The sequence below is a fragment of the Homo sapiens genome, chromosome 11 (genome assembly GCF_000001405.40).
Source record: "Homo sapiens chromosome 11, GRCh38.p14 Primary Assembly".
In the NCBI taxonomy this organism is placed as follows: Eukaryota; Metazoa; Chordata; class Mammalia; order Primates; family Hominidae; genus Homo; species Homo sapiens.
Genome location: NC_000011.10, coordinates 132,115,702 through 132,142,671, shown reverse-complemented (window position 1 = coordinate 132,142,671; position 26,970 = coordinate 132,115,702). Strand labels below are relative to the sequence as shown.

General features: G+C 46.1%; 1 protein-coding gene across 41 annotated transcripts in view, besides 3 other annotated features; it reads right to left on the bottom strand.

Moving 5' to 3' along the window:
* The window catches only part of NTM (neurotrimin), a 966,208-nt gene that overhangs the window by 194,151 nt on the left and 745,087 nt on the right, over positions 1–26,970 (bottom strand). The gene's annotated exons all lie outside the window — the stretch shown is intronic.
* Positions 16,132–16,181: an enhancer, noted in NCBI's record as "active region_5763". NCBI's record gives its function as "activates an Ori minimal core promoter by ATAC-STARR-seq in GM12878 lymphoblastoid cells {active_cell/tissue: GM12878}" and the evidence as "EXISTENCE:reporter gene assay evidence [ECO:0000049][PMID:35858748]".
* Positions 16,282–16,331: an enhancer, noted in NCBI's record as "active region_5762". NCBI's record gives its function as "activates an Ori minimal core promoter by ATAC-STARR-seq in GM12878 lymphoblastoid cells {active_cell/tissue: GM12878}" and the evidence as "EXISTENCE:reporter gene assay evidence [ECO:0000049][PMID:35858748]".
* Positions 18,680–19,678: an enhancer, noted in NCBI's record as "OCT4-NANOG-H3K4me1 hESC enhancer chr11:131992888-131993886 (GRCh37/hg19 assembly coordinates)". NCBI's record gives its function as "activates a minimal SCP1, AML or CMV promoter by ChIP-STARR-seq in primed H9 embryonic stem cells {active_cell/tissue: H9 hESC(primed)}" and the evidence as "EXISTENCE:reporter gene assay evidence [ECO:0000049][PMID:30033119]".

Genomic DNA, 26,970 nt, shown 5'->3' with positions numbered 1-26,970 from the left:
GGGTATCAGTCTTGCTGAATCCCCACGGAATGAATGCCGGCTTCTGCAGAGATGGATCACAAAGGTACCTCGGCAGCCAACTCTGTCACCTCCTCACACCTGCCCCCATCTATCTGTCTCATTGATCCAGTCTCCTCAACAATGCAGAGGACACATCGCTCCTCGGTTAAAAAAAGAAAAGTGAAAATGAGCATAATTGCTCTCTCAGCCACAGAGAAGGCTCTGGAGGTGGGACATTCAGACAACGAGTCCTCTCTTTGCAGAGACAGCCCTTGACATAGTCCTTCTACAAAACTGCTCCTGAAACACGGTACGGTATCTCACCTCTCTCAGGATGGTGGTTAACTGGTGATTAAGTCAGAGTGAGTAAGGCTTCAAACTCCACTGTCCCTGACTCATCCAGGTGAGCTGAACTGGAGATGGCCGCTCATCAGATATGGAGGAATAGTCACAAGTCAATGTAACATAGGCCAACAAGAGGTGGGAGATGGGCGATCAAAAGGGCGGGATGTTCCCAGATCAGACCTGCAAAGCCTCTCCCCTTTCGTCCACAACCTCCAGATATACCGCCCTCCCACCGCTGGCATCCTCTCTGCCCATCCTGCCACATATATGAAGAATAGAGGGACAGAGGTTCCCTTGAGGATTCTGGACTGGGCCCTGCAACTCCAGCTCCCTTCTGTCCTCCAGCTTCAATGTTGCCCTCCAGTTGCCCCGCACTGCAGCCCTCTGGCAGTGGCCATTAGCCTTCTGTGTCTCTGTGAATGGTTTTCCCATCAGCATCCCTCCTGCGGCCTTCCCCTCCTGTGTGTGGCCCCCGTGGACAGCCCATGGCCTAGCATACTCAGCATCCTGGAAGAATCCAGACAAAAAGAAATAAAGCCTGGAAAAGGCATGTGTTTTCCATTTCAGTACCGAGCCACAGTCCCCTTCTTAGTCTGTGTGTGTCTGTCTGCACCATGTTCCTTTTTTGGATAAGTGTCTTCTTTTAGAGAATAGGCCTATACTGTTTGAGCAGGGATTATTGAGGGTGCCCCACCTGTGTCAATATTCAGGGTGTATTTGGCCAAAAGAGGATCCAGCCACATGTGCACATGCTCACTCATGCATGGGAGCTCGAGTATGGTAGAGAAAGAACACTGCCATACCTGTAATTTTCTGCAGCTGCACCTATTGTTCCAATGCTCTAAAAATGCAACCCTCTGTGTCCTGAATATCTCTCTGATGAATAGTTGTTTTATTACACATGCTGCATTTACACATAGAGGAAAAGCAAAAACAAATGATTAAGCAAGCCCAAGATGTGCACCGCAGAAATAGAACCATGAAAGTATGGACTCAGGTCCTGAAGCTACTTTTGGATTTAGGATGAGAAAAGAGAAAGAGAGATAGAGAGAGAGGGGTAGGGGGGAGAGAGAGGGAGAGAGAGAGAGACAGAAAGAGAGAGAGAAAGAGAGAGAGAACCTGGGAATTGGAAGAAAAAAAGAAGCAAAAGTGTCTGCTTGGAATCTTCTAAAGATGGGCAAAGAGAGTGTTGCAATAAGGAGATAGATTATTGAAAAAAGAGAGAAACATCCAGGCTTGGCCTTTCTTAAACACACCTGCCTGAAGATCTGAGGGCAATAATGGATGCAGACAGTGTGCGGTCCAACCGTTCCTTCTATCAAATGGCCCTTTAACTGTGTCTGAAAGGCAGCGCATCTCAAGCAATGCTTGAAGCCACAGCAAAATAAGTGCTTTCGCCCTTCGCAGCACCTGGTCACAATTGCCTCTTATCACACAGAAATGCTCCAGCTGCCCCTAAGTTTGGTGCCTCTGAGCATTCGGCTTGTGCCCTGCCCCTCCCCTCAAGCATCATAGGGGAACATCACGACGCAAATGGCTCAGAAATACCCACACACGCTGCCATGGGGTTGGCGTGTACATCTTCCACATCTGCGCTTGTGAGAAAGTGTTCTCTGGGGGAAACTAAGAAATTAACAAAACAGGATACTTCCCCACGAAGACACTGAACATTCAGATATCAGCTAGCACCTTACTCCTTTATTGTAAGAGAAAGCGTCACTACTGAGGCTGCTAATTTTGACCCTACTGGATTTCTTTTAGACTCTAAACTTGTGTGGAAGTTTACAAAATTGATCTGGGTCATAGAGAGACAAAAATACTAGACTTAGACTCACATTGCACACTGTTCTTACGTCTCCCAACTATTACCATTTTTGCATGACATAAGAAAACGGAGGTAGGCCATGGAATCTTTCCTAGCTATGAAAGTAAGAGGGCTCATCATGCCTAGGTAGAAGCAGACAGCACACTTATGATACAGGTGAAAGGATTAGGGGGAGGAAAAAGGAAACAAACAAAACCAAAAGCAGCAGCACACACACTGCACTGTGAGTCCCACACCGCTAGGAGGTAGTTGTAGTCAGAGAGAGGCTCCGGGAGAGCAAAGAGAATAGGGTCTGAAGTCTGACTGCTACAAGGAATGTCCCAGCTCTGTTCCTGATGCCCCTCAGGCCTCAGAGAGGTTATCTCACTCCACTGGGTTTCATTTAAATCACCTGCAGTAGAAATAACCTCTCTTCTTGCATGGGGTTAATGAGAAGATTAAATGGAAACATGCATGTAAATACATTCTTTTGTTTATTGTAAAAATTCAACAAATAAACCTATTGTACAGTCTATAACATGTACTGCTTTCTCATCTTAGGGATGTAACATTGCTGACTTGATTGATTTTAAGTTCTTGAAAAGCAAGGATCATGTCTTATTTTCACTTGTGTCTCTACAGAACATTGTGTAGAGTACAACGTAGGCACACAATAAATATCTGTCCACTGATTAATTATTTGATTAAAATCTCCCATCTTTCACAAACTCCCGAGAGATAAAAGACCATGAGGCCTGCATCCAATAAAGGCCCAGTGTGTGAGTATAATTACTCTGCATGTCCCCACCAACCTGCACTCACAAATACAAATGCACACATCTCCCCCAACACCTGGTCACTGTGTGTGAGAATCGTGCAAGGAGGCAGTCCCCCTCCACTTCTGTAATGTCCTAGGGATAAATCAAGAAGCCTTTGCTCTGTGCACCTCCAGAAAATTCTCCATAAGCACACCTACCACCTGTCCTTCCTGTCCCTGTCAAATACAGTAGTATCCTCTCAAAACAAACTCTGTTGAGTTTGGTGGGCCGTGACTTTTCTGAAATGAATGGCACAACACTTTGATTTGTACCTACAACAAAAGCCCAACACTAATTTAAATGCTGAAGCAAGAATGGGCTTGCTCAATAGGTCATATCTTGTTTGTAAGTCACGGCTCCCACAAGCCATTTTTTTGATTCAATAACTCTGTTACACACATGTAGCCAAGAACTCTAAATTCTAAACTCTAGCAAAAGGTAACCTGGGCAAGGTGGGGCATCTTCATCATCTCATAGAGCCACAGACAGTGGAGCCTTTTTCCCCTAGGTGACCAAAGCTAGGTAACCTGGATGTTTTTCTTTCCTTTTCTTTCCCTAGCATGTTCAAAACAGTCCAAACACAGAAGAGTGGTCTCTGGAATCCTGTCATGGAGACCAACCATTCATAAAGGAAAGAGCCCAGAAGTGCCGAAAGTTCAGTGGGAATTCACGCTGGACTCCATCTGCCATTGGAGCTTGGACTTCAGTGAGTGATCCCTACAAAGTTCCACCTCATTTTCGGTGATGATTAATTCTCTGTGTCAATTTGACTGAACTATGGGATGCCAGACAGCTGGTAGCACGTTATTTCTGGGTGTATCTGTGAGGTGTTTCTAGAAGAGATGATCAGCAGGCTTCATAAATAAGACCCACCCTCCCCAATGTGGGAGGGCACCATCTAATACACTGAGGGTCTGGACAGAATGAAAGAGTGGAGGAAGGGCACTTCACTCTTCCAGCTTGAGCTGGGACATTCCTCTCCTGTCCTTGGGCATCAGCTCCTTTGTCTCAGGCCTTTGGACTGAGACTGAAACTTACACTACAGACATGAGCCAATTCTTATAAGTCTCTCGATAGATTAGAATAGATAGATAGATAGATAGATAGATAGATAGATAGATAGATAGATAGATAGATAGATTCTGTTGAAAAGGAAAACCCAGACTAATACACACTCCCACCCCACACTGCTTCGAACATGACATTCATTAGGTGCACCGGACCACTTTTCACTGTTTCCTGTACATTCTGTTCACATTGGGAATTCTGTGACTTCCTGCTTTATTTGGAATGCCCTTCCTTATTGTTTGTTAGACAAATTCCTATGCCACACCAAGGTCAAGCTTAAATATTAATTCATATACCGGCAAGCTTTTCTCTGCAAAATTTTGCTGTTCCCCCATGAGTGTTTTCCAGACATACTTTATCTTGGTGTGTACTGGAAGCAGGATGTCCATGCTTTATCTTTTTGTCATATGTGGAACTCTGGGAAGGCAGGAAGTAGATACAATTTTTTTCTCTACTCCAAGAACCCTCACACATGACTCGTGCTTGCTTTCAGGGCAATTTGGATCTTGGTAAGTGTTGAGGCGGCTGCCAAGGTTGGAAAGAGCTTGGTAAACAGCAAGGAGGAGTAAGGTGCAGCATGTCCAGCAGTAGGAGGAGCATGAGCAAAGCACAAAGGAGCTGGGGAAAATACTGGCGAGTTTGTGGAAGGATGGAAACGGGGAGCTTATGGAATAGAAGGCATGGGTAGAAGAGAAAATTTAGCAGGGACAAAGCCAGCAAGCTAGCACGTTGCTCTCTGTGTGTCCGCAAGTCCACCACCCAGTGCAGGCCGACCAGCACGGATCGCGTGGACAGGCTCCCTGCCCTCTGGCCTCCTGTTGTTCTGCCACTGGGAAGCAGTGGCAGGAGTCGGGGTTGGGGAGGAAGCAGGGTCCATCCACCAGCTGTCTATATCCCTCCATCAAAGTCTGGTGGCAGCCATGACCTCTTCCCCTTATCCCTTCAGGCCTAAAAGTGTTAACAGTGCCTTCCTGTTCGTGGCCCCAGGGTCCTGACTGTCCCTTACAGTTTTCCTACACCTTGGCTGCACCTTCATAAATATCCACTTTATTAAACTCTGCTCAAATTACCCAGTTTGAGGATGCCATCTTTTCCCTGTAGGATCCCTGACTATTACAGGTTCGTTGTGCAATAAGCCCTCGTGAAAGAAAGAGTCTGCATTTTATCCTGAAGACAAAGAGCAGGCAGGGAACCAAAATGAAGAACTCTGCAAAGGCCAGCTCAAAGAATCACTGATGGTTATAGATGGTAGCACACTTGAGCTTGTCTCTTTCTTCTCCAGGGGACAGCCCTCCTTGGCAGGGAAGGAGCTGCGAAGAAGAAACAGGAGTCCCTGAAACAAATCCATCTGCAGGCTCTCCTCCATCTTTGCTTTGTCTCCAGTCCTGCCCTCACTGGCCAGTGTGTGTCACCCCATACTATGGGACACACTGGATGAAGAAATGGGGCTTCATTCAGTCCCTGGACAAGTTAGGCCAGCCTGGCAGTTGTCCAAATCGACACTTTTTTTTGCAATTACACTGATTAAACTGATTGTTACACTGATTATTGTTCAAATCAGACACTTTTTGCGATTACACTGATTAAACCAGGATGTATTCAGGCAAACTAGGAAGAACAGTATAGATTAGCCACATGGAGTCACACTAGAAAAGGGGCTGGAATTACCTTGCTCCTCCCATGCCCAAGGCCTAGTGCGACTATGAAGGAGATGCACTGGCCTCTGGGGAAGCCAGCATGTGTGTCACTCCTGGCTTCATCTCTGGGGCTAGTTCCACCTCCAATTCTTTGTCAAGACACACTTTAACCAGCAAACCCCAGAATCCGACCTGGATCCTGCCTCTAGCACACTCCTATCACCCTAAAGCACCATCCATACTTAGAACTTGAACATGACTTGAAGAGGAAAAAAAAATATCACAGCTTAGGAGACCAAAATCATACCCCAGACCACATGCAGCTGCCATTTCCCTTCCAGTTAGTGTGTGTGAAGCCTGGCACCCATGTGTGCGAACTGGGCAGCAGGCAGACTGCCTGTCCACCTGATCTTTGCCCCAGGGACCATGTACACATATGATGTACATGTGTGGCCATGTGTGGTGGGAGGGAGTGGCTGGAAAGAAGGAATCTGGTTCACAACCAAAGAGACAGTCTCTGCTGTATCCAAACCCCACAGTTCACAGGAAGAAAGGTCAAATACAACTAGAACTCCAGAGGGACAAAGGGGACACCTGGGTTCGAGGTGGGCCTTGTCTGTTCTCTCACTAAGTGACCTTGGCAACACATCCTCTCACCTTTGGTGGTAACACAGTGCCCACATGACTGCCTGGGGCCTAGGTGAGAGTGAGGCACAGTAGGTGAGTGGACTGGCATCCTCCAAGGAGAGAGGCTGCTGGCTTCTGAGCTCCATTTCTACCATCTACGGAGGTGAGACACAGGTGGGACAGGAGAGCAGGACCAACATGCAATACACACTGCAGGGGCTGGAGGCTCATCCTTCTCTGTCCCTATCCTGTAGAGCCCACAGAAGCCTCTCCTCTCTCTAGTGGACTGTGAGGAGGCTGAGAGGAAGGGGTCCCCAGGGTCTGGAAAGACAACACTCACTAAAACAAGAAAATGTGAGTAATTAAGTGCAGAAAAGGTAACTGGATCTCTCCAGATAGTTAACCTAGGTGACGTGGCACCTTGGGGAACAAGATGCATCCCCAGAAAGAGGAAAGCTCCCAGTGGGAGGACACTACCTTTGCTGGGGCCTGTTGTCATTCCAGAGCCCTCCCTCACCTCGATGGGGGCCTCATCATTTGCACAGCCACTGCCCTGTCTCTCTCTCCCTGTGCAGGACAAAGCAGGAAGTCAGCCTTCAGCCCAGGCCCCTCGGCCCCTTCCATCATTTCTGTGTGCTCCCTGGGTTCTGGGTGCTTCTGCTTCTGACAGCCCAGCCTGAGACTCTGTTTGCACCCCCACCTCCACAGACAGCCACAAGTGCCTAGGGTTTGCGTCCCCCAGGGTGGCCCCTAGCAGTAGCCTGTGTGGCCTGTGTGGGAGTTGTAAAAGGGCCTGGTCACCCTGGTGGGTCTTTGCCTAAAATCGAGCCTCCACTTGGCTTCTTGCCCTGTCCTGCCTGGCTTCCCTTACACCTTCTGCCTGTTCTCCTAGGCCCACTTCCCTAATAAGTCATGACCACACAAATCCGTATCCCAGAATCTGCCTCTAGAGAACTGGAACAAAGGCAATCTTATGTGTAAATCTCACAAATGCTTTGTGATCAGAAGGAACTCTTCTGGAGAGGGAGTGTGAGATATTTGGGAGGCTGCAAGGAAAGGAAGGTGCTAGAAAGATGGAGGGTGGTCTGTAGTCAGGCACTGGGAGCAGGCAACCACAGGTGAGCCCTGCCCCTGGGAGAGAGGACACGGGGCAAGGTAGAGCCTGCAGCCAGAAGCCGGGAGTGGGGGCCCTTCTGGCCCTGGCCTAAGAGACCTTGGAGTGCCAAGAACATTTCTGTCTCCTGGGACACTGACACAGGGGTGAGGGGACACAATCCAGCCAGGCTTAGGTACTAACGAGGGACATTCTGTGGGGAGGGGAGGAGGATTTGGGGAGTTCAGTGGGTGGCAGGAGCATGTGGACAGTAAACTAATAAAGGATATAATAAAATAATAAAAATACAACCACTATGGAAAACAGTGTGGAGATTCCTTAAAGAACTAAAAGTAGATCTACTCACTACTAGGTATCTACCAGGAGGAAAAGAAGTCATTATATAATACGAAAAAGATACTTGCACACGCATGTATATAGCAGCACAATCTGTAATTACAAAAATATGGAACCAGCCCAAATGCCTGTCAATCAATGAATAGATAAAGAAAATGTGAGATATATATATATATATATATATATATATATATATATATATATATATATATATATACCATGGAATACTACTCGGCCATAAAAAGGAACAAAATAATGGCAATTGCAGCAAACTGGATGGAACTGGAGACTATTATTCTAAGTGAAGTAACTCGGGAATGAAAAACCAAATGTCATATGAGTCATATATATTCCTATATGACTCATATATAGGAGCCAAGCCATGAGGACTCAAAGGCATAAGAATGATACATTGTTTTTTGGGGCCTCAGGGAAAAAGGTCAGGGGTGGCAACGGATAAAAGACAACACCTTGGGTACACTGTACACTGCTCGAGTGAAGGTGCACCAAAAGCTCAGAAATTACCACTGAAGAACTTATTCACGTAACCAAATGCCATCTGTTCCCCACTAACCTACTGAAATAAAAAAATAAATAAATAAAAGCCAACCAAACAAACAAAAGATCAGCTGAATAAACAGAAAAGAGGTGAGAAGGTGTTCCCCCTAGGAAGAAAAAGGTATCCAAAGATACGGGTATGGGGCAGGCACGGTGGCTCACGCCTGTAATCCCAGCATTTTGAGAAGCTAAGGTGGGAGGATGGCTGGAGCCTAGGAGTTCAAGACAAGCCAGGGCAACATGGTGAGACCCTGTTTACAAAAAAAGAAAAAAAATGGCTGGGCAGGGTGGCATGTGCCTATAGTCCCAGCTACAGAGTGAGACTGTTTAAAATTAATTAATTAATTAAACAAACAAAGAATAAAGATTTGGGTGTGGCTCTGGGGCAGATGTTTAAAGGTTTGGTCTGATGAGAGCAGAGAGAGAACACCGAGGAAGAAAGACTAGAGTCAGCTGTAGCTGCCCTCAAATGCCAGGCTGGGAAGTATGCTCCCATCAGCAGCAAAGCAGATAAGCAGAGCCGAATGGCAGGAGAAAAATCATATTTGGAAGCAATAAAGAAGTAAGCCAGGGTGAAGAGATAATGGGGGCAGGGAAGTCCATCACTGCCAGAAACAGAAGCATGGAAACGTCCTCTTCCTGGGAGTTGCCTTTCCCAAATACGTTAGGCCTCGTTCTCACCATCAGACATATAAACAGACATGCTCTTAAGGTGCTGGAATCCACCTAAACAGGGCTGGCAGGGAGGGCTGTGTGTCAGGGGTCTCTGTGGCCCATTCTTTAGGTCCCCCGGGGAACCTTTCAACTCACAGCCATCCCCCGACCTGTGCTTCTAACTTACCCCTTAAACTTCACTTCAGGCAGTTATCTCCAAAGATGTGGATGAACTGAAGTGCATTAGGATGGGATTATATGCCCATTTATTTGCCAAATGTTCATTGAGCACCTCCTATGTGCCATGTATTGTGTTAAGCTCTTAAGGAATTCAATGCAGAGGCAAACAAGACAGACTCATGCAGAGAGGCACAGAAAGACAGGATTATAATGCAGAAGTGTGCTGTTTCTTATGATAGGAAATTATGGGTGTTGTGCAGAAAGTAGACGTGTGTGGAGGAACCCAGCCTAGTCTAATGGGTCAGGGAAGGGCTTGTAGAAGTGAAGTTTCTGCTGAGAACTTTACAAATGAGTATAAATATGGTGCTGGGAGAGACATGGGAGATAATTTATCAATAAGGAACCTACAGAGGTTAAGTCTGTGCAGCTCTTTCTTTCATAAGCCTAAGGCTACTTAGCTACTTACTTCAAGAAAGATTTTGGATGACAGCGAGCATCTCCTGATTCTTTGACCCAAAATTAGTAATAGTCTTTTCTGGGGTGAGTGGATTGTAAGATTTTGCAATGAACATTTTGAAAGCTTGACAATGCACTGGGTGTTACTCAGATTTTAACAAGATTTCTGCCATCTGGAAGCCGCCATGCATTCATATATTTTACCTGCGATCACCTCAGCTTGCTTGTTCATATTTGAGAGAGGCAGCAACCATGCCTAGTAGCTTGATTTCCATGGAGTCCAGTGGGGTGCTTCTCTCTTTTTCCATTGTGTTGCGACAAGCCTGAGTCCGTAGTCTTTCTGTGACTCAGTTTTCATATATGTCAATGGGGAAAAATGGTCTCTACCCCACCCTGTTCTTATTGTAATGAGGGTCCATGTAAGTATTGAGGGGAAGAGTATCAAGGACTCCGCAGGAGCATGGAGGTGTTAATGTTTACAAACCTTCTGAGTGCGGATGCTATCGTTCCCTCCCTTCCCTATTATTTTCCAAGTAACCAAATACATGGCTACATCACTATGTTCAACATTACACATTTATTTATTGAGCTCATATGCCTGTGAAGATGCAGTGTTCACTCTCCAGAACAAAACATATTCCTTACTCTATATTTTAGGAGCTTATGATACAAAGAAGATAACAGCTACTTAAATGAAATAAAGCAGAGAACCTGCACAGGCAATTGAATGACAAACACCGGACGGATACAGAAAGAAATAGACCCAATTTTAACTCTCAAAGTACAATGACCAAGTCTGAACCAAACAAAGGAAGCCGTTAGGAGAGGGCTGTTTTCCTTCACTCTGCTGTAGTTCCCACCCTGGTGGAAGGAGCAGGCAGGATCCTGACGGGGATTGGGGGAGCAGATGGGGGCGGGGCAGTGGTCGCACAGGTATAAAACGTCAGGCAGAGGAATGTATCCTCGGGCACTTGAACTGCATCAGCTGGTTCATTCCAAAGTAATTTCCTTCAACCAACACTGGGCAAATAATTATCTAAGTCCTTTACGGAAACTCTTGGTGCCTTTGATGATGCTCTCTATTAACTGGTCTCTGTAGGAAGGGACTCTAGCCAGGCTGTAGAAGAGCTAGTTATTTCCCTGCATGCATTCTCTCTAATTTTGAACCTCCAACCACAAGCTCAAATCATTTCCTAAGCTTCAATGGACCATCTTCTGAACACCAGGCAGTGGGAGCGGGGGGCCTCTTCCACCTGCTCTTTTGGTCCCACACGCAACCCTCTTCAGTCCAGTCACTCTTTTTGCCGCAGGGACCTTTCTAACAAATCTGTTTGAGAATCACTTGTTCAAGAGCCTTCAGTGGTTCCCACTGCCTTCAGGATGAAGCTCAAAGAGTTCAGAAGAACATGCCAGGACCTTGAGGTCTGGGATCCTGCAGCTTCCTTAGTGTGGCATGCTCTCCCATGCCCCAACCCATTTCCCACACTGCCCCTCTGTCTACAGCACCCCTCCCTACTTACTCGCCCACACACCCCTTCCTTCACAAGGCTCCCTCTGACCCAACAAGGCTGCACTTTCGTAGGGTTCCATCATAACCTTTGCCAGCCCATATGGCAATTCTGAAGGCAGGGCCTGTGTATTTTCTTTATCTTTCTTTCCATAATCCTCTTGCAACCTATTGTGCCTTCCATGGTACCTAGTTCATTATCACAGGCAGTCAGTAAATATCAGTTGCTTGAAGTGAAGGCACACTGCAGCAGGCATCTGTCCTAAACCAGGTGTCTCTGAGACAATAGCTGGCCCCACACTCAGCCCCAACACTGGCACCTCTCCAACTGTTTTCCATGGTTACTCACACCGGGCTGCCAGAAGCATAACACGCGTGCATCTATAGCACATGTGAGCTATGCCACTAGAAGTCACAAAGCAACATTTTGTGCTCCACAAAAGCTTTCAAAATGAGAACGGAGAATGCAGCAGACATTTCATGACAATGTTTTTGTTAATTAACCAGAAAAATAATAGCTCAAACTTTCCTTGCACATGACAGCATGCAAAGCCCTTTCTCATATAATTCATATCTCACAGCATCATCATAAGAAAGTTGGAGGCAGAGACACATCTCAAATCCCAGATCTGAGGCTATGAAATGTGTGATCGTGGGCAAGTCACTTCATCACCCTGGGCCTCGGTTTCCTTTTCTGTACAGGACAATGGTAATGTCTATGCGGCCTCAGCCGTGCAGTTCTCACCGTGAGAAATCTCCCATCTTGCTCTGTGGGGATCCATGAAGAGCCTGCTGGCGGCTTAGGTCTGCTGCCGGCAACTCCATCAGACTTCCCTATTCTCTGAGGGGCAGGGCTGTTTGAAACCCCTAGCTGTTCCACTTTTGCCAAGGTGAATGGAGAGAGGAAAGGTCCAGGAGATTAGACTAGAAAGTGGTGTAGAACTGTGAAGGCAGGGATGCCAATTACTAAAATACGATACATGCAAACATGCCTTCACTTCCTATGCAAATTCTTGAGAGAAAGAAAGGTGTAAGTGCAAAGGAGCATGCTGTATTTCACCTCAGCAGAACGCAGAAGAACCAGATAGTATTAATTAGAACTTAAACGCATGAAGTAAAATTAGCAACATGATTGCTCCTCTCATTGTAATTATCACGGGAATTAAAAAAACAAGGCAGAGAATGGAAAATGCGGTACCTTCCTTTTTTTTTCCACTTGAGAGCCACATTCCATACCTCTTGATCTTATGACTTTCTCTGACTGGTGTGGTATCTCCTTGCATCTCCCTAACAAAGCTGAACCAACTCCCACTTCCGAGGCTTCACTGTCTTTCCCTCATCCCGCTACTCATCTGATTTCTAGATACGAGTGGTTTCATCTGTCAAGATGATTTCCTATTACTGGTCACCTCTGGGAATATCAGACTAGGTTCCCTTCTCCTTCTGAGAATATTTACTGTGAAAACAAATCTCCTACTCCCAAAGTCCTAACAGACTCTGGAATTGAATTCTTCTAATTAAGAATCAGATACATTTACATTTCAGCTTCATCCAAACCTGTTAAGAACATCCAGAGAGAAAGAGGAAGGCTGTAAAGTCATTGGCAGGAGTTGAGGTTGTTCTCAATAAAAAGCCTGACCAAAACTGCACAAGAAAACTCAAGAAAATGGAGGTAGGTGAAGATGAAAAAGGGGAAGAGAATTGAGGAAACAGTGGGAGAAGACAGACAGACATTTCTGGCAAAGCTCAGAATGTTGAGGCTGTATCCATTTGGTACCTCCTGTACTGTATGCTCTTCTTGGTCTTTCTAATACAGTCCTAGGAGCCCCATTTTGAAATGACTGGTGTTGGAGGACAGATATTCTGTGTGTGCACTGAAGAAAAATAATGACAAAAATCAGTTTTTATTTCCTAAGAAGTCTTCCCTTCCATGACTTTGAGGTAGAGCCCACAGGAAGCTGTAGATTAACTGAAGCTAACCTTACTTCTAGGTAGGCATGAAAAACCCACCTGAGGTCTGTCTTTAGGAATTCTGTCTTAAAATACATTTCTCCTGTCTTCAAAGCCAGAATGGGAATGCAGGGCCTAAGCTACTGGGTCAAGTTACCCAGAGTTCTGATACATCGGCTGATTGGGAACAGCAAGACCTCAACTCAGGGCTCCTGGGATCTGTTTGCTTCCCTTTGTTACCTTACTGAGGATAGTGCCAGAGACTCTGAATCAATATATGTGTGAGACACAGGAAAACTATCCCCTAAGTTGGTTCTAAACTATCACTTAGAGCATCAATAGTAACAATACGTACACAGCTGTATGCACTATACAACATTGCTCTTCCAGAAATGCAAACAGTTTTGGATACCAAGTCCCTATACAGCCACCTCCAAATTCCTCTTCTAGAATATATGACCAATAGACCCCACCCTATCCACCCTACCAACACACACACACAAACACACATCTTTTGCAAACTACACTTTTCCAGCGGCACTTTCTAAAGAGAATTGTTCACTCAATAACCTGCTGGGACTTGTGACACCAACCCATCCCAAAGAAAAATTTCTACACTGTCGATAGTGATTTCTGACCTTACCAGCCTCTTTTTTTTTTTTTTTTTTTTTTTTTTTTTTGAGATGGTGTCTCGCTCTATCGCCCAGGCTGGAGTGAAGTGGTGCAATCTCAGCTCACTGCAAACTCTGCCTCCCGGATTCATGCCATTCTCCTGCCTCAGCCTCCTGAGTAGCGGGGACTACAGGTGCCCGCCACCGCACTCGGCTAATTTTATTTTATTTTTTTATTTTTTATTATTTTTTTTTTAGTAGAGACGGGGTTTCACCGTGTTAGCCAGGATGGTCTTGATCTCCTGACCTCGTGATCCACCTGCCTCAGCCTCCCAAAGTGCTGGGATTACAGGTGTGAGCCACCATGCCCAGCCCCTTATCAGCCTCTTGTACCTGTGTGATCACCTGGCAAGTTAAGTTGGTTGGGTGAACTCCTACACCCACAACTATAACCCACTGGAAGATTCTTTGAGGCTCCTGTTTCTGCATGAAGGAGATATACATCTGGACAGCCTGGGGCCAGTCCACAAAGATCTGAGGATGGTCCCTGGAGAGGCAACATCTGATGTCCTGCTCTCTACAGTCCCCAGGCAGCCTCTAAATTCTACAGCTGAGAGAGTAAACAGGACTAGCAACAGTTGAGATGTAACATTGTGTATGCATATTCAAAAGACATTCATTATCTGTAGGACATTGTTTAGAAATTGCTCTACTATTTAATTTGTGATAAATGATTAGCAAACATGTTTATCAATGTAAAAAAAAAAACACACTCACAGAACAACTTTAATTGGATTCATATACTTTAGTGTCTGGGAAAGCTGAGAAGCAAACCATCCTATACCACTGCCATGTGCTTCTCCTCTCCAGCGTCCTGTCCCCAGCCATCTGCCCTCAGACTTCATCTACAACCCCAGACAGCCTTCTGCCAAATGTAAACTGATGGTCACAGGGAAAAGGAGAGGACATATGGATGAGAGTGCCCAAATATGAGAATATCCTTTGTCGACAAAAGCCAGAAAAGTGTAAATCTTTCAGAGAGCCAATGCCCAGGCCAGCATCCCACCTGGTTCAGTCCCTTGGATGGGGAAGGGTGGATCTAAGACAAGAGCTTGGCTCTGGGACTTGCAGGCTATAACGTTAGACACTACTAAGTCTGCCGGCATGACACTCTTTCTCCTATTAATAGCAACTTCTTCAATTTGCTCGCCCCAGAAAACAAAATGAATGAGGCTTGGCTGTGAATGTAGGGAGACTAAAGCCCAGGATGGCAATAAATCGGAGAGCAGAGTGGCAGACACTGTAATCCGCCGGAATGCCGCTCTGGCTCAAGGAAAAGAACCTCTTTGGGGAAGCAGTGGAGGGAATCAATGCCCATAAAAGCATCCGAGGCAGCAAGCCACAGCAGAAAAGATAGATACTGTTGACCAGCACATGCAGCAGATTGCTGGTTGTAAAACAAAATAGAAAGTCATTAAAAAGGTGGGCAAAGGGCACGATTGTGTGATGTGGATGTCACAGGGGACCTGTGTTATAGAGGGCTCAGGCCTCCCCATCCGTCAGAAGGTCAGCATCGCCAAGACTGCCTGGAATCCCACACTGCAGATCCCTCTCTATGCGCTCACCGCAGCAAGGTGAGAGATGGGTTAGTATTTATTGCCACTTATGTAATAGGTCTATTTGGAAACACATTCTGACTCGCTTATCAGGATATTAATACATCACAGCATATTGAGCTGTATTCATTTTGGGTTCGGGTTGCTTTAACCAAAGACTTTCCTGGGAAGCCTGCCAAGGTATGTTTTTCTGGAACGAGCTCCCTTTTCTGCCTCATTCACCACCTTTCGATCCACCAGAGGGCAGAGTCAACCCATAAGACTCAGGCTCAGGGACTTTGGGGGGCAGTTTGAAATAGGAGGAGTTTTGGGAGAACGCACCAGAAAAGCAAAGGCCTGAATAAGTTATTCATCCTGAAAGCTGGAGATGGAAATAGTTTCTGGAACTCTCAAGAAAAAAGACTGACAATAAGGCCCGAAAGAAGCAAGTTAAATAGTTCTTAATGTGCTGTGCCTCAGTTTCCCAACATTTGAAAGGAGCAGATGCTTGAATCATTTCCAACTCACCCTGTAAATTAAACCACGCTTTGCGGGTCACAGAAAACACCTCTCACAGCAAAGGAGGGGCAGCTGGCAGAGAAACAGGCTGCAAGGTCGCAGCCAGCACAAATCGGAAAAAGGCACGTTCTGGAGGCTTCTTCCCTCCTTCTCGCTTCCCTCTCCCTTTGCCTCCTGGTAGGGCTCTTTCTCCTTCCGCATTTCCATTCTTGCCCTCTTTCTCCTTTTCTTTCTTGTGCTAGTTTGGCTGCCCTCTCCAGCTCCTCTCCTCTTGGGAGAAATAAAAGTAAAACCAAAAACAACTGCTAGGGGAGAAATGACAGCAGCTGCTTCCTCCCCCTCCTCCTGCCCCCGCCATGGGAGGTGGCTGCGAAGTCCCCGCACACTGCCAGCCATGGTGAGAGCTTTGATTTCCAATCTGATCGCCTCATTTTGTCAGCCTCTGCATAACACAAACAGCTCAGCCCCCACTTATCACAGAAAAGAAGGGGGTGATGGAAGGAAAAAAAGTAGAAGGAACACCTTCCTCTCCCATAATAAATAACTGGCACAGGCATCTCCTGTCACCCTCAGCATTGTCCGTGGTGTGTGTCTCCCTACCTTGCCATTAAGAAGTAACTCACCACAGCTGGGCTGGAGAGAAACAGTATCTCCCTGCTATTGTTCACAGCGTTCTTGTGTGACAATTTCAATCCATCAGACTTTTCTTCTGCAAAGAATTGATGGACTAAGGATCCTCTGGCTCGGAGCTGTTTGTATTTCTGCACTCGTTCACACACCCAGGTGGCGAGACCCTTGCGCCCACTCAGTCTCTCCCACTCCCACATCGCGCAGGGGCGCCTGGGGACCCAAGCTGCTTATGGAAAGCGAGGCTCCACCTTTGCTGGGCTGCGCTTCTTCCTCTGCCAACAGCCCACTCATCCCCCTTGCCTGGGACCCCTGTTGATCTCTCTTACACACACACAATATACACACACACACATACAAACACATGCACGCACACACACCACATACCACAGCACACACCACATACCACAGCATACACCCAGCCACACACACACCACACACCACACATACCACACAGCACACACAGATACACAACACACAACACACATGCACCATATACCACAACACACAAAATACACGCACCACATACCACACACACATCACACACCACACACTACACACCACACTCACACCACATACCCCACTACGCACTACACATGACACACACACCACATACCACATGACACACATACCACATACACCACCAAACACCACACACATCACACACCACACACTACACACCACATACACATTCATACCCCACCACACACCACATACATCACATAGCACACACTACACACCACACACACCACATACACCACCACACCACACACGCATCACAGACACATCACACACCACACACTACACACCACATACACACTCATACCTCACCACACACCACATACATCACATAGCACACACTACATACCACATACCACATACACCACCACACACACATCATACACTACACACTACACAATCACATACCACACCACACACCACATATACCACATACCACACCACACACACACACACACACAAACACACACCAGTACATTATTTATCTTCTACTTTACACTCTAAGGGAGGGTTTGACTTAGTCTAATTCACTCAATAAAATGAAAACATCCTTTCCTGATTCACTCACTCAGTCGCCTCATCTTTGTTTGCATCCCCACTGTGAGCCCATCCGTTTGCGTTTGCTGGGACTGAGTGTAGACAGATATGCGGGCAGTGTGAGGAAGGCAGGGTGTGTCTGGGAAGGTTGTGCTCTAGAACTCAAGATGCAAATCAGGCCCACCTGTAGAACTTGCTTTACTTATTCATTTGGAGATGGATGTCATGCTGGCACCCAGGCTGAAGTGCAGTGGCACAATCATCACCCCTGCAGCCTCCAACCAGCCTCCAGAGTAGCTTAGACAACTGGCGCTAGCTACAGTACCTAGGAGTACAGAAGCTAGGACCACCAGGAGCAGCTATTTTTCTTTATGTTGTTGTTTTTTTGTTTTTGTAGAGACAGGGTCTTGTTATGTTGCTGAGGCTGACAATTTCAATCTCCTGGACTCAGGCAATCCTCCTCACTTGGCCTCCCAAAATGCTGGAATTACATGCATGAGACACCACACTCAGCCATTGTGGAGCTTTATATAAATGCCTGTACTTTATAAATTACCCAAGCAACCCCGCCCTGCGCGTGCGCGCGCACACACACACACGTACACAAAAAATATTCAGAACAATTTCCACAACTTTTTCTGATGTGCAAAACTGAGAATCATTATTGTGAGCAGCTGCTGAGTAGGATTTGGGTAGAAATGGGGAGGCAGATGGGCAACAAACCTGGACAGGTGAAGAGAAGTACTTTCGTGAAGGGCATTTTAAGTTATGTTAAGGAATCTAAGGCGCAGGTGCCAAGAGCTTCCAACAGGGCGGCACTGTGCTGGGACCTGTGTTTTGGAGCCTGTCTCTCCCTGCAGACTGAGAGCACTCACAAAACCACCAAAAGCCAGCCCAGCCACGGCTGCTGAGATCTCAGGGAGGGCAGGGCCCCAGGGGCTGGACAGGAAGGGATGGAGACAGGAGACACCGGGAAGTAGAACCCATGGCCCGATCGAAGATCCGGGGATGGGAGGGGCAATAGCAGAAAGGAAGGGGCATAGCACAATAATGACCCTGACTAACGTTTATTGATCACTGGAGTGTGCCAGGCACTATGCAAAGCACTTTACTCAGATCATGTTATGTGAGCCACACGGCCACTCTGTGTGGTAGTAAACAAAAATATCTCCACTTTACCTGCAAGGGAACTGAAACTTAATAAATTGCCTCGGGTCACAAAGCTACTAAATTACAAAGCAGGCACTGGATCCTACTGACGGTCTCCAGGAGACGGACACTCTAAGGCAAGGTACAACTCTGCCTCGTGGTTTCTGTCCTGAGAAAGTGGGATGGGATGGGTGCAGAGTCCTAAGGAATGGAATCTGGGGGAAGGCTGTGCACACGTAGGAACCTAACTCTTGGTCAGTAACCGGCACATGCGTGGTTCTCTAATGGACTCTCCTGGGCTGGTCCTGTTTGCCTGCCCAGGCTGTTGATGCCTTTAGCACACGGTCCATTCTGCTGTGCCTCAGAGGAGCTATTGCCAGCTGGTCTCACGGCAGGTACTCAGGCACCTGTTGGCTGGCTCATCAAATGCGCATATAGCATTGTGTATGGGAAGGACCAGTGGCAGGGGATTTCCCTAGCTCTCGCCGAAAACAGAACGGCCATAGGCCCATCCACATTGCTACCCTTGGCTTCCTGGTACTCAAAGCTTGGATCAGCTTCCTCTGTCGTTCTATGCAATGGACCACACAGACATGCCATAACTGACACTGTTATTAATTGTTGGTCTCCTAGTGAGGCTTCCAGAGACATGGTTGTGTTTAGAAAAGATGGCAGATTTGCCTCCATGAATACCTTTCTGTAGAAAGCACGTAGGTTTACCTCCCCCTTCACCTACGAGAGAGCCTCTCTTCTAACTACCCCTTCTCCCCACACTGCCCCCTGTGCCTTTCCAGTCCCTTCTCTGTCCTTGCCATGGACAGTGCATTTTACATGAAGCTGTAAAATTTGATGACAGCTTTCCTTGTCAATGTGGCCCTCATGCTGATCCCTCACAGTTCTGACCCTCTGGCAGTTGAGCAGCCTCATTGCAGATGAGAGAAAAGAGAGAGAAGCAAAGGGGGAGTGAGATGCAGAGAAGCAAGGCTGACGGGGAGATGCACAGAAGAGAAGATAGGAAAAGTGTGCCAGGAGGAGGCCAGCCAGGGGGAGCATGAGGAAATACATTCAACGTGGCGAGGAAGGAGAACAACTAGAGTCCATGTTTTCCATCTCCCTTGCTCTTTTTGTTTCCAATTAGATGAATGAGTGAGTCTGTGTGTGTGAGTGTGTGTGAGTGTGTGTGAGACAAGGCAACAGGAATCTAATTCTGGGCACCACTGTGACAAGCTACAAACCCAGAAAAATTCTGAACAGGGCAAACTTAAGTATCTTTAAAGAAACGCCAACTAAGGAGCTCAGGAGATTTGGGAGAAAGGGGTGAGTCCCTGGCTGAGAGATTTCCCAAATACAGCTGGTGTGGAAAGTGCTCCCTTTGCTCAGGACACCCCTGGGGCTCTGAGGTACCCCTTCCCTTTATGAGGTGGCACTGCTGCTTATTTGTCCTCAGATGATCAGACCAAAGGCACCACTTTTATCAGACAAGTGTCAGCTCATTTACAGAGGGGACTTCTTTTCCTCCCCGCCAGGTAGTTGAGGCACATCTTCAGGCATCCTTAAAAAACTCACGAACTCTGACAGTAGGCGCAGCCCCAGTTTAGGTTACAAGTATTCATTCCTATGAAAACCTCCTGGATTTGACTTTAACAGCCCCAGGGGAGGCCGATTTGCTGACTACAGAGTTGTTGAAATAAAACCAGTTGGAAAAGAATCTTACAGAACACCATAGTGGGGAAAATCCACGTCTACCCCTCCAAGTGTCCTATCCAGGGGGCACACCCCACTTTGGCCTCCCTTGTTTATTTATCTCATTTCTCTTCCAGTCTCAGGCAGAGATCACTTTGGCAGGGTCCCAGCGCCCCAGCCCTACATCTTCCCAAAGAGAAGCCCTGTCTATTCGGAGCAAAGGCCCACACCGAGTGCACGGCTCCTAGCACAATGGCTTGCTACAGCTTTCCTAAACACGCAATTCAGCGCCTATAGCACTTTGCCTACATTTCAAATTAATAGGCAGTTTAGGTGCTCCCCTTTCAGTTTCATGCATAGAGGTGGAGGCTGCAATGAATGCCAGCCCATGGTGTCTAGGTGATTAGATCTGTCTGCAGAATACAGGTAATTTGTGTTTCTGCTTTGTGCAATTGGCACTAATGCACATGCATAAAATGGAGCCATCTTCCAAAACACTCGTCAAAGAAGTATATTTACCAGGCACAAAGGCTAGGAGCAGAAGAATTGAACTCTAATGATAACATGTTTGTAGAAAAGTGATGCACTTAAGTTATTATGCATGAAAACTATTGGCAAAATAGTCTAGGCTGGTTCGAGAGAGGGGGGAGGAACAGAGGGGTGGGTCTGCCCATTGGAATCGAGGGACACAGAGCTGTGTGAGGACACAAATGACTCATGGGAAAGGAAAATAAAATGAGAATTAAAGGTTCTGAGGTAGAATTTAAGAGAGAAACAGGAGAGGATTTCTTAGGTCAAAGGGAGATTGGCAAGAATAGAGCTGGGAACAGGATCCTATAATGAACCAGCTTTTCACTCATATTTTCTGTACTTCATAGTCTTTTTACTTAAATAAATGGAGCTGGGGCATTTTCCATTTGTCCCTCATCTCCTGCATTTCATCACGCCTCTGTTGACCCCAGGAGTCTTATACGAGATTCATATTTTTTTTCAGTATTTTCTGTTATACTGTGGTATCTACAGTCGGTACAACTTTATGCATTTTGTTTTATATTTTACTTTTTATACTTAGACCTTGACGTTAGTTTGCATTTTAAGAGTAGGACATTAACACCCTGACCCTGATTTCATATTCAAAGCAAATGAGGTCCAGGGAAGAAGGGCTTATAGAGGTCATTGCCTGAGACAACTTTAGTGATTAAGATGAATTGCATATCCTCAGGCTCCTGCGGTGAAACCCTCCCCATCTCTAAAATGGGAATGAAACCGCTGGCCCCTTCTACTTTTCTCCTGTGAACACTGCAAACTTTGAGGAGAGTTAAACCAGATGAGCATATCAAGGTGACCACTGGACATATTTTGATAGCAGAAAAAGGCATTACAATGATTAATTCAAGATATTAGATCATGGAAAAATCACGAGTGTACGTGCTCTCTCTCTCTCAAACATACACACACACGCACTCCCCACAAAATACATTCCATCCCACCTCTTCCAGCAGAGCTAAGCTTGCAGCAGCCTATGCATACTCTACCAAGAGGCACCTTGGGGTTCAGACGACAAATAAACTGTACAGTAGATTCCACATCCACGGAGAATCTAGAAAAGGACGCTAAGCTCTCTTTTCTTGCTATTGGCATATCTCTCTCTGGGGACTCCTGTGGATATTAACGCCTACTAATCCTTGCAGAACCCTAAGCAGGGAGGCAAATACTATTCTATGCCTACTACCAGATGAAGAAAGAAAGGAGCCAGCAACATAGATGATTTATCCAATGTGGTTTACAGATTTGGTCTTCAAAAGAGGTCCTATTCTTTATATGGAGTGATTCAAAATTTAATCATTGGTCATAGTCTGGTCCCTCTTTTGCCCACAGCAAAGACACTGTCTCTTGCAACCTTAGAGGAGGAAATAAAAGCCATTAGCTGGGTCTAAAGTGTCTCAGGCCACTGTTTTTAGGGAGACCTAAACTCAGTCGGGTAAACTGAGTTTTGTCACCCCTCACTCTCATTCTTTTCCCTTTTCTCTTCTTCAAATTTCTAAGTCTACCAACTCCTGGGAAGAGCAGAAACATTCTGGCATTCTCTCAAAAATCTTGGTCCCATATATTGAGAGACTGTAGCAATACAACGTCTACATTTGAAGGAGCCATGAGCTCTGATCAGTTTTAAAGCCAGAGCTGCTCAACATGTGCAGAAAGAAAATAGCAACATAAACAGGAGGAAACAAAGACAAGAACTAAAAAAAAAAAATCATCAGCCGAGCTGTAGAACCAAGCTGTGACTGGGAGGGAAGGCAAGCGGGGGGCTCAGACGGGGGTCCTGATTCGCGTGCAATAGAGAATGCCCAGAATCGCATTCTTCTGAGATTTGTCAATTTCCCTTCTCTCTAGCTCTGATGGGGGCTTTTTACACCAGAACATATACTCTTTATATAGCGTGTTATAAATCTGCATCTCCCCAGGAGCTGATGCAAGGCAGCCATGCCATTCTCATGCTAGCCCTTGATGGGGACTCGGTCTAGACCAGTGGCACTGCTCTGCTGTGTGAACCCTAACCCAGCACTGCCTGTGCATTGCCAGGTGATTGCATTTCATTTAACAGCTCTGCCCTTCTGTAGCCTTGGTGCAGAAGGTCCCCAAAGCCCATCAGATATGGCTCTTTGGCAGAGAGGCGTGATGCCACGGGACCAGAAGACTGCCAGCTTATTTCCATTGTGACTGAAAATCCCATTTCAGCCTAGGATGGCAAAGGCAAACAATTTAATGCATTAACCTGCACTGACTCCTCACCCAGCTGCTTCCCGTCCTGATTGAACGGTAAGAAGGTTAATTATTCCCAGGCTCATCTTCAGACTTCACAGACCATATCATCACTGCTGGCAGGGGTGCCTGGTCTGGCTGAACCCAGGCTGTGGAGGCCGGTGGTGGTAATGGAATTGGCTGTTCCTGCTGCTGCGACCCCAGCTCCACTCTTTGATATCAGAAGGGTCAGTCATGATGTCAAGCGCACATGTCCCCATTCCAGGAGTACAAGGAGTGATGGTTTTTCTTACTGCACAGTGTGCTTTGGAAAATTTGCCCAACTGTAGCAGTGCACCCTTCAGCCATTGATGATCTCAGTAGACACCACTTGCAGGACGAGCACCTTCTCCTTACAAATCCAGTGTCCAGGGTGACCACAGAGCTACAGCCCTGGGGAGCTACAGCCTCTGGGAATAAGCTCCAGACACAGTAAGAAGTAGAGGAGACCGGCTGATGCCAATGTGGGGCACTGTCTGCCCAGGTCCCAGGGCCCAGAGCATGGGGGCCACCCATGGATGAGAGAACATCTTTTCATCCGCTGGAAACTGGAGAATGAGACAGAGAAAGAATGTGGCAGGCTGGGGGGAGAGGCGCTTCTACTATACACTATCTATCTCTACTCCTCCCCCTCCCAGCCCCTTCACCCCCTTGAGGACATCATCCTTAAAATATATTTCATTTCACAGCTGCATTATGGTACCACAAAATCCCGGGAATCCAATTTAAGAACAGATTACCTCCTCACTTACTTCATTTGAAGCAATTACATGTTAATTTTCATTGAAACCAGCCTAATGCATACCAATCTGACGCTGCGATCTCATTTGAATACGTAAGGGAACATCCAGAGAGTTTGGGGGTGCCAGAGATTTATATTTAAAGGGCCACTTCATCATTCCTTTTGTTGGTGGGCTCTCATCTATTTCTGGTACCCTTTCCGTGGCTCTTGAGGACAGAAGTTCTCTCATGGTGAAATAAGAGCAGATAAGCTTTCTCCAAAACAGCAGTAGCTGTCCTTGGAGAGGAAGCCCGTGTTCCGAGGTTTCTTTCTTCTCTCTGCCATTTATGTGCTGTGCGATTGCGATGAAAACACCTCCACCTTGCTTTATCTTCCTTGCAAAGTCAAGATTTATTCTCTGCCATCTGCACAGGAGAGATGCAATGCCAAGTCCCAGCTTTTTCTCAGCCTCAATCCATGCTCAGCCCTCTCAAATTGTTGATTACCATATATTGTATTCCCAACCATTCACCTAAGGAGGAAATAGCTTTCTAGACAAGCCTTGTGCATTGATTGCAGCCACTGGTAATTAATAATACTCAGGGACTTTGGAATCAGCTGGTCTTTCAGTTTTAGAATAGGGAAGTTAAAAAAAAAAGCTTATCTGCTCAACTTACGCTTTTAAAATACTAAAGAAATTCATGTTTGAAGCTACCGCTTAATTAGATTGTAAGACTGTAAAGGACCCTGAAACTATTGTGAAGATGCAATATAAATGTGTTTTATATTATGTTGCAATTAATCTACTATGACATGGAGGCAGGCAGATGGGAGTGACAAGATTGATTTAATTCAAGTTAGCGCGGAGTCATTGGTCCCAAGGCAGCCCAAGTTCTTCTTCAGTTTTGAATTAGGTACTTGAGGGTATGAGCACAGACAAGGAACTGGACAGATACCTATAACTAACAGCTCAGTGTTGCCCTGAAGTAGGACAGGTGTCTGGGGTACTTTTTATTCTGTACAATGCTCATTTATTCAGCGCCCACTGTGTGCTTGTTCTTAGATTCAGAAACAGAGCAGTAAAGTATTTTTTAAGTGCTAAGCCCCTGTTCTCATGGAACTTACACAAACAAAACCCCAAATAAACAAATACATCAGAGAGTAAATCCAATGCAGACCAATAAATTCCTGTGTGGACAACAGGAAGTATGGAGAGGGGTACTATTTTATTTTTGGTATATCACATCAGCCCAACAGATTTTAGCCTGGGAAGAATCAAAGGGCCCGGTTGGTCTGCTTCTTTAGCATTGATTACATTAATGAAATTAATGCTTTATATATAAGAATATTTCAAAGCCCTTTGTCAAATCACAGCCCTTCACTTCTGAGAGCAAAGACTTGTCACTCCTTCCATCAGCAGAAGCTTAGCTTGGTATTGTCCATCACATGGCCAGGAAGCCAAGCAAGGTGGGGCACAGACTAGGGAGAGGGGCCCATGCTCAGAGTTTCCAGTCTGAAGACTGACACACTTTTCTAACCTTTTCAAACTCAATCAACTAGAGAAGAAACAAAAAGCAATGCTCCCTTCCCTTATGGAGACATTGGCAAACACTCTCTTTGTCTTCGTGTAGCAAGAATGAACAACATTTGCATTGCTAGAGGGTTAACTAGACTGGTAGAAAGCAGTTGCAATACAAAAAAACAATCATTTTAAATGAACACTCACGATTTCTAATAGAAATTTTCCAATGCAGAATTAGAAATGAATGTGAGTCATTCTGGAACTTTGGACTTCTATGACTTTGGGGGCTGATGAGAGTCTGCCTTGATCAAATGATGCCAGGAAATAGTCTCACCTCTTGAGAAAATATTAGCATAAGAAGCTCTGTGTTGTCCTCGATGGATAGTTTCCCCCTTACTTTTCTTCGACCTGGGCTCCTTGCAGAATTGTTCTTTCTTCCCTACACCTATATTTCATTCACTCATATTATTTTAATTAACTACACTAGTTTTCAAGTCTGCAAATGAGGATAGCATCACGGAAAGGGGCTGAGCCATCTGTTAGATGTGGTGAAGAAAGGTCTATAACTGTCATCCTCAGCAGAGCTCACGCTTTTGGCTGGATCTTAATAATCATGACTTGCATTTCCATGGCATATCACAATTTCCCAAACCTATGCATGCCTTCCTTCCATATCTCCTGGTGCTGGGCACTATGCTAGGTCCTTGAGGTAGAAGGAACACTCCTGCTCTGAATGATGTTAAGGACACCCTATAGTTACTACTATGAGGGTGGTTAAGTACAAGATGCAGTAAGAGTCCAGAGAAGAGGTGCGGGCACTCATGTATCTGTCCCCTTCATTTCCCAACATTCTCTGCCTTGCTCTGTATCCAGAAACTGCATTCCCTATAATTCCCAGGCTTCCTCTCCCTCTGGCTTCAGCACTGTCTTGGTCAATGGAAGAGTAGGAGAAAGTATCACCCCCCACTTCTGTTTGGGTACTATCTATGGGCAGTGTCTCCCAGTGGCTCCAGCCCCTACCTCCATGGTCCTAGCACTTGCTGGATTGGCCTGGCCCCTACTTAAAAGCAGTTTCTCACCCTGTGTCCCTCCAGCCCTATGGAGTGTGTGGAAGTGGGAATAGGGTAGTCAAGTCCACCATTGTTTACTCCCTTGGTTGCCTCACCCTCTCCTGGTAGGCTTCTCAGCCCTTGCATCACATGTGCAACCAAGTCCAACTACTGTTATACCTAGAGTGGTTTCTGACTGATACGGTGCCTAATCCAGGGAACTGGGAGAAAGGAGAAATGCTCAGAGAGACGCAGAGAAGGCCACACCTGAGCTGAGTTTAGAAGAAGCTATAGCAGTCAACCAATGGATGAATGGGGCAAAGAGCATTACAAGGAGGAGGATGAGCCTGTGTAAAGGCATTTTTAGGTTGTTTTGCTTATTTGCCCCAATAGAGAAAGGATCTTCCCAGGTTGAGAGCTGATGAAAGAGCAGGGCTCACCAGCCCTTGCCACATAGTGTGTGAATGATTTGCAGGTAAAGGCTCCTACAAGGTTTGAGTGATAATCAATGAAGGGAGAGGAACGCAACATCATCATTTTGTAAATTAAGCAAACATTAGAAAGACAAGGGCAAGTGGTCAC